The sequence below is a fragment of the Homo sapiens genome, chromosome 2 (genome assembly GCF_000001405.40).
Source record: "Homo sapiens chromosome 2, GRCh38.p14 Primary Assembly".
Classification (NCBI taxonomy): domain Eukaryota; kingdom Metazoa; phylum Chordata; class Mammalia; order Primates; family Hominidae; genus Homo; species Homo sapiens.
In genome coordinates this window covers 75,481,504-75,489,710 of record NC_000002.12, presented here as the reverse complement: position 1 = coordinate 75,489,710, position 8,207 = coordinate 75,481,504, and the positions used below count along the sequence as shown (strand labels likewise).

Sequence of the window (8,207 nt, the reverse complement as noted above, 5' to 3'; positions counted from 1 at the left end):
TTATGAAGGAGAAATATATTACCATACAACCTCTACCATAAGATTGGCCACCCTGGGGAGTCCTTTTTACATGTAGCATGTTATGAATGTATTCCTGTTCCCAAAGGATAGAGGAGCAAACATTTCTACACACAGTATGCCCCTAAGTTTACAATAGATAGCTGGACAACTTCCCAAAACTGCACTCACCTTCCCCCCAGACCTATGTCTCTACCTATATTTTTTGTCAGTTAATGATACGGTTTGGATCTGTGTCCCTGCCCAAATATCATGTCGAATTGTAATCTCTAATGTTGGAGGACGGGCCTGGTGGGAGGTGATTGTATCATGGAAGCAGGTTTCCCTCTTTCTGTTCTTATGATAGTGAGTGAGTTCTCATGAGATCTTGCGGTTTAAAAGTCTGTAGCACCCACCTCTTCTCTCTCTTCCTCCTGCTCCCGCCATGTAGGATGTGCCTGCTTCTCCTTTGCCTTCTGCTATCATTGTATGTTTCCAGAGGCCTCCCAACCATGTTTCCTATATAGCCTGTTGGATGATGAGCCAATTATTCCTCTTTTCTTTATAAATTACCCAGTCTCAGGTAGTTCTTATAGCAATGTGAGAGTGGACTAATACAGTTAATGACAAGGCAAGTTACAAGGTTACCCAAATCAGAAGCCTGGGACCATTCCAGTTTCCTTCTTTTCCTTGAAGCTTCAATATAACAATTAACAATCTTCCCAATTTTAAGTCATTAATATTTCTTGCATTGACTCTTCCTTTACAGCTTAGTTTAAGCCCTTATCAACTCCTGCCTAAACAATTGGAAAAGCCTCCAAATTGTTATCTAAGTCTTGCCACCATCAAAGCCATACGGAATACAGCTACCAAGGGGACCTCTATTAAATGCATGGCTACTCATATACCAATCTCTCTTTTAAATCTCCCATTTTTTCCCCATTGCCTATTTAAAATGTCCAAATACCTCTAGATAACATACTGGGCTCTCCATAGAAGGCTGCTGCAGCTCCATCACCTGCCCCTCCTTGCTCATTCCTTTACGTTCTGATAATATCAAATTGCTTATAGTTCTCTTCTACACTTTTTATCCCAATTGTTGCTTCTGTCTAAAATACATTTCCTTCTTTCTCCCACTTTTCTACCTATCCTCAAGGCTCAGCACAAGTGTTTCCTCTACCAGGAAGCCTTCCAAGACTTCTCCAGGCTGGGCTAAGTATTGTCCTCTAAGTTTCCACATATCCTGTGCTTGTTATGCCCCTTGTTCCTACTATACTGTTGTGAAATTGTTCACTTGTGCCTCAAAGGCAGGGAGTCTGCCTTGTTATTGGGTCCCAGCTGGATGCACACATCACATGCTTTCAGCAACTATTTGTTGAACTGTGGTAAAGACTACATTGTATTCACCAAACCCTGTTCTCTCTGCCTTCTGGACACGTAGATGGACTATATTTCCAAGACACTATTTTGGGTAGATGTGGCTGTATGACAGAGTTTTGCCAGTGGAAGATGGCAGGCCTACCTAATTGACATTTGCCATTTCAATGTTGGTTGGCTCATATGATCTTCTATCCTCTCTGCTGGCTGGATGCAGAAGATTCAGAAAAGAATTCTGAGGCTCTAGATGATGGTGGAGCCACAAAATGGAAGAAGCCTGGGTTTCTGAATGACCACATAGTGGGCCACTCACTGTCCAGGAACATCCACATTGTATTTTGTGTTAGGAGAGAGAGGCTGATGAAATACAACCCTGAAATGAGGGCTGGGAGGGCTCTTGAAGTCTCTGCTTCCAACTCTGTCTTCAGACAGGCTTATTCCTAACTCATTGTTCATTAGTAAAATTGATCCTAAAACTTCAAAGGGAATTCTATGGAGCAGAGTAACCCTCTTTAGGTAAGCATTTTCCTTTACTACTTTTAACTTCTTATGCTTCAGTTGGAGTTACCTTATGTTCAGGAAGGATATTCATTCATCTCCCCTTATAATAATTCACAATAATGAATATTCAAAGTTAACATGTTTCTTGTCTTTTTGTTCCTTGTGCTGAATAGTTTCTAATTTATTTATATGCTTTTCATGGTACTTCTCCCCTTTTATTCTAATATTTTATTTACATATATACATATATTCTACTTTGTTGAAGTAAAGTGAGTCAGGCAATACCTTCCACCTATTATCATAACTGTCACAAAACCTTCAATATCATGCTTATCAGAGTGACAGTTCTGATAAAGGCAGCTAAACTCATCATTCTAATCAGCTTTGAGCAGAGCAAAATTAGCCTTGTTTCCCATGTCTTTCCTTATCTTCTCGACCAATGTTGAGATTGCACAAATTGTAAAATGAACTCCTCTGAAAAATTGTGATCAGATATGGGGTGTCAATCTTTTAATTGTTTGCCAACCTGTATTATTCTGTTTTCACACTCCTAAAAAGAAATACCTGAGATTGGATAATTTATACTGGAAAGAGGTTTAAGTGACTCATAGTTCCACATGGCTGGGGAAGCTTCAGAAAACTTACAATCATGGCAGAAGGGGAAGCAGGCATATCTTACATGACAGCAGGTGAGAAAGTGATTGTGACCTTTGCTGCAGTTTGCAATAAATTCCTCATCTCCATGTGAGCCCATCTCATCCTGGATTTCATTATCCACAGGACTATCAGCATTTTGGCCAACACCATTCAACAAATCTTTAGGAAGGGCCAAACTTTCCTACATCTTCCTATATTCTTCTGAGCTCTCCAAACTCTTCCAATCTCTGCCCATTACCCAGTTCCAAAGTCACTTCCACATTTTCGAGTATCTTTATAGCAATGCCCCACTCCCGGTACCAATTTACTGTATTAGTCCATTTTCACACTGCTATAAAGAGATACCCAAGACTGGGTAATTTATGAAGGAAAGAGGCTTAATTGACTCATAGTTCTGTATGGCTGGGGAGGTCCCAGGAAACTTATAATCATGGCAGAAGGGGAAGAGGCAGATCTTACACGGTGGCAGATGAGAGACAGCATGTGTCAGCACAGGAAAAACTACCATTTATAAAGCCATCAGATCTCGTGAGAATTAGCTCACTATCTTGAGAACAGCATGTGGGGAACTGCCCCCATAATCCAACCACTTCTCTCCCTCCACACATGGGGATTACAGGTCCCTCCCTTGACAGGTAGGGATTACAATTCAAGATGAGATTTGGGTGGGGACACAGAGCCATACCATATCACAGCCCAAATCAGTATATATCAGGATACATTCCTTGTCATAAATATTAAATTTAACATTAAAAATAGCACCAAAAGTATCAACCTTCAAAGTGATAGTCTTCCCATGTCAACAGCAAATTTGAAAATTTATGGCTTTTTTGTTAATTTTAAAGATATGAATTTCTTTTTCACCCTGGAATAAGAATATCCTTCTTTCTTTTTCCAGATAGAGTCAATTCTTCCTTTGTGTCCCCACTGCTCCTTGCCACTTACACTGTATGTGATTTTTCTGTACCTGTCTTTGTCCCCTAATCTCTGAGCCCCTGACAGCTATACTGTATCTTACTCACCTCTGATTTCTCAGTGTGCATGCAGGACCTGTTTCATAGTAGTGTCTCCTCAAATGTTTTTTGAGTTAATAAAGTAATGCATAAAGTCTCAGAGAATTTGAAATACAGCCCATTGAAGCATGCTGTTCCATAGATCCCCAAGGCATTGATTGTTTGTGATGAAGATAATTTTCTTAAGTGTGTGAAGGTCTCTTTTATCTGATTTCATTTATTCTTTCCTCTACCATTAATCATTTCCTTGTCTCTTTCAATTTTAGAGTCTCTCCCATCTCTCCTACATTAATTTAGACGTGGCTGTGTGATAGAGCTTGCAGTTCATTTTTTCAAGTTCAATTTAGCACTCAGAATGTTACAAAATTCCTACAGGTCTTGAAGGCATGGGCTTTTCTTCTTGAACTGCAATGGCTGTTCTTAACTTCACGAAATACAGGTCCTCAGTCCCTCAAGGGTTGAACAAATAAAGGTAAACTTCTAAAACTTAAACACTGGAAGTATGCCTCTTGTGTCTGCAAAATAGTCACATCATATATTCCATTATTTCTGCCTTCAAGACCATCTCAGTCTCACTCATATGACACTTGACCCTCAGACACAATTTATCTCCTGTCTATAGGAAAAACCATCATTTAGTTACTGAGATATTGAACTAATATACAAAATGTCTTGGCTAAGGTGGCTCATGCTTGTAACTCAGCACGTAGGGAGACTCACTTGTGGCCAGGAGATGAGCCTGGGAAACATAGCAAGACCCTGTCTCTACAAAAAAATGTATAAAATTAACCAGGTGTTGTGACGCATGCTTGCAGTCCTAGCAACTCAGGAGGCTGAGATGGGAGGATTACTTGAGCCCAGGAGTTTGAGGCTGTAGTAAGTTATGATCACACTACTGTACTCCAGCGTATGCAACAGAGCAAGACGCTGTCTCAAAAAGAAAAAAAAAATTAAATTTAAAAAATAAAATAAAAGAAGAAAAAAAGGAAAGTCTCTTTTCCTAACCATTTATTACCTTTTCATTTTCTTTCTTTCAGTGGTAGGTAGAGATGAGCCTACTGGTGGTGACAGTGAAATTAAAAATAACCTTCACTTCCAGCTGTCATTTGAACAACACAAGGAACCTCTGAGGCTCTCAGAAGAGAGGTTTATCTGGGCCTGAGGCCAGGGCCCATATTAGGGACTCCATTCAGAACCAGAATCATGCAACTAGCTCCACATCATCAAAAAAGATGAGATGATTAACTAAAAATTTTCCGCTATAGTCCTGAAAATTTGTTTTTAGCCAGTCTCTAGTCTTTTTATGGAAAGTTTCTGATGCCTTATACCCTGTTACAACACTAAATCTGGCAGATACTTTGGAATAGAAAAACTGTGGCCATTTAGGGCAATACCTGGGTATTTCCAGGTGAATTTCTCAAATGAGAAAAGTGCATTTCTGAATCAGGAACTTTTTATAGAAAGGCGCTACATGAACAAAAATACATTTTCTCTTTATGATGTTACTGTTACTCTGTAGGATTAGACTTTTGCTTATCTGGAACTCAAGAGACTGTTTCTACGTTCTTGGATATGTCTTCCAGTGGGTAATTCATCCTCAATGTGTATTGAAGGGTGACCAGGATATAGATAAGTGACAAAGGCAAGATAAAACATAAGAGATTTAACTGAATGGCATGAGCTTCTAAGGAAGTAGTTTACAAAAGATTGCAGAGCAGAATTCGGCAAACTATAGCCATGAGCCAAATCCCACCACCACACGTTTGTGTACCACTTGCAAGCCAAGAATGGTTTTTCCATTTTTAAATAGTTACATTTTAAGCAGTTATGCAAGCACCTATATTATACCCTAGATTTTGTCTCTTGGACCACAAAGTCTAAAATTATTTACCATATGACCCTTTATGGAAAAAGTTTGCTGATGCCTATTGTAGAGAAATGATCTGGAGATATCAATAGGGAAAAAGACCAACGCAGAACCTAATCTCCCCTTCCCCAACTGTAGTAGAGTTTGCTGAATAACCCCCGACATCTGTCCACATCCTAACCTCTGGAGCTTGTGAATGTGTTACCTTATATGGCAAAAGGGACTTTACAAATATAATTGAGTTAAGTATCTTGAGATGTGAAGATGATCCTGAGTTATCTGGTTAGACCTAATGTAATCACGAGTCTTTATGCGGGGGAGGGTCAGGGTCACAGTCAGAGAAGGAGCTGTGACAGCAGAAGCAGAGGTTGGAGTAACGCAGCCGTGAGCCAAGGAATACAAGCAGCCTCTGAAAAAGGCAAGAAATAGGATTATCCCATAGTGTTTCCAGACATAACACAGCCCTGAGGACATCTTTCTTTAAGCCCCATAAGATTCATTTCAAACCCCGGCCTCCAGAACTGTAAGACAACACATTGATGTTGTTTTGGGCCACTAGATTTATGGTAATTTATTGCAGCAGCAATAGATAACAAACAACTTTTTCAGCCCTACACGCCCCGGGTTGTAGAAGAATCACAGGGTTCCCCACAGAGTCTCATGATGTATAATGAATTCCCATAGGCCAGCTGGGTAAGAGGAGAGGTACAGTTGTAAGAGGAAGTTCAGAGTGTAGAACATACAGATAATCATAGAATTCTAGTTTTAGAGAGCACTTTGAAAAGGAAGAGCCCAGTTGTAAGGTCAGTGGTAAAGAGAAGAACTGCAAAGTAGAATATGGCTAAAAGTCAAGGGGACAAAGATGATTGCAAGATGTGGGAGATCAGATATGGTTGCGTTAGCTAGCTTCAGGTTCTATGTGGCCTCTGCCCAGGTGTCTAGATGAAACTAAATGATATCCACATTGGCAGAAGAGCAGAAAGAAGAGAGCCCTAAAAATTATCAGGGTGTGTTTTTATGTCAGCCATATAAACCATGTGACTTTCTGTCCAATTAGAATCTTTAGCTCCACTTACCTCTTAAATTCAGATGAATTTTCCTCCCCGGAACCTAGAATCCATCTGCTTATTATAATCTCTGTAATTTGCACACAGTGGCATTCTTGGCAGCCAGTTATTTGTGGCAGATACAACATTTAGAGTTCAAAATTATGTCCTTTTTCCAGAAACTGTTCATTAAACAAACCAGTATGTCTTAAGACATTTCTCAAATTATATTCACCAGTGACCACCCCTTGGAACTGAGGAGCTATAGAGCAAACTTCAGGAAGTGCCTCCTTAAAGCATTTAAATTGAGTGCAGAGCACATATTAAAATTCAAATTTGGAGTGAGTTTCTGCTTGTGTTCCTAGCCTTAAAAGAGACACCAGTACATAGAATTCCTGAGGCTTTCTCAGAAATTTGAGTCCATAATGGTACAGGGCTCACAGTTAAAAATTATTTGTGAACAATATGAACATAAAAATGTGAAAATCCAAAGCTAGCTTTGGAAGTTCTCTCCAAATCCCTGAGTAGTTTCTGAACTTTCTGAACCAACTTACATGTATGTGCAATGATCCACAATGTTCCTTTACCCAGGATGTCTTCAACCACAATCACCAGCTCCCTTTAGGTGATGGGGACCACAGACAAGACTTCTTTAGGGACCAGCAAGGCAGCAGGTGTTGCTAAAGACCTCCTTGAGATGCAGAATGCCCACATCTGCTCCTTTGCCTAATGCTGAAAGGATTCAAGAATGCTGGTGTTTCCTGGGTGGAAATAAAACAGAACCCTGGGAATCAACCTGAATCAATCTTGATAGCCTGCAAATGAAAGAGGCAGGCAGTTTATTAATTGAATTTCTCTGCTGTTAATGCTGTTAATGCTGTTAAAGGATATTTAGTCAGGTAATTTCTTATTTGTCATCACAACTAGATTCTAAGTTTTATGAGGTCAATAAATTTTGTCTTGATATTCCTAGCACAATGCCATACCTTAGCATGTGCTCAGTAAACATGTGCTACATGAATGAAGGAATGTTAAGTTTTCACATCCAAAAGCTTTTTTTTGAAATGCAGAGGAAATTTTGGTGTTGTTGCAATTGCTGTACAAGGTGGTAATACTAATTGTATTATTTTGAGTTCTTTTCTGCAAAGCTAATTGAAGTTGCCAAAAGAGAATAAAATGCCTTCTTTTGGTGAAAAATGAACAAATAAATACAACTAACTCTTGGTTATGTCTGAAAATTTCTATTATTTAATATGAAAAAAATCTGTGAAAGGGTAGAATGTTTGTAAAGCACACTTTTTTTTTTAACCCACCAAGATCCCTTGACATAGATTCTGGAGTTCCTACTCGCACTTCAACAAATGTTTACTGAATAATTACTATGTTCAGAACATCAAAAGGATTATGTCCCCTGCCTCAGTCAGCCAGAGAAGATAAAAAAGTGCTTAATGGCTATTTAGCAAAGCATAAATTGGTACGAATGAGACTGAAAGATATGAAGTGTTAGGATTTCCGAGAATAAAGACAAAACTGGCAGCTGGAGAACACAGCCATGGAGCTGCCTCCATTTCCCTGAAGTATTCAGTTTTAGTGAGAATGAAGACTCAGCACACAAAGAAAGCCAAATAAATACACATTAAAAGTAAACATGTATCCGTTAGCCGTCTTTCCTCAAAGCTGAACACTTACACTTCCTGTGTCAGTTGGCAAACAGCAGATGGCAAACAGCAGGTACTCACCATATTTGCC

At 39.4% G+C, this 8,207-nt stretch overlaps 1 non-coding gene across 1 annotated transcript; it reads right to left on the bottom strand.

The window, feature by feature from the left end:
* On the bottom strand, window positions 1-135 carry LOC124906189 (small nucleolar RNA U109). The gene has a single exon (XR_007088770.1). It is a non-coding gene; the product is annotated as a small nucleolar RNA U109 (small nucleolar RNA).
* Window positions 136-8,207: the final 8,072 nt, after the last annotated feature.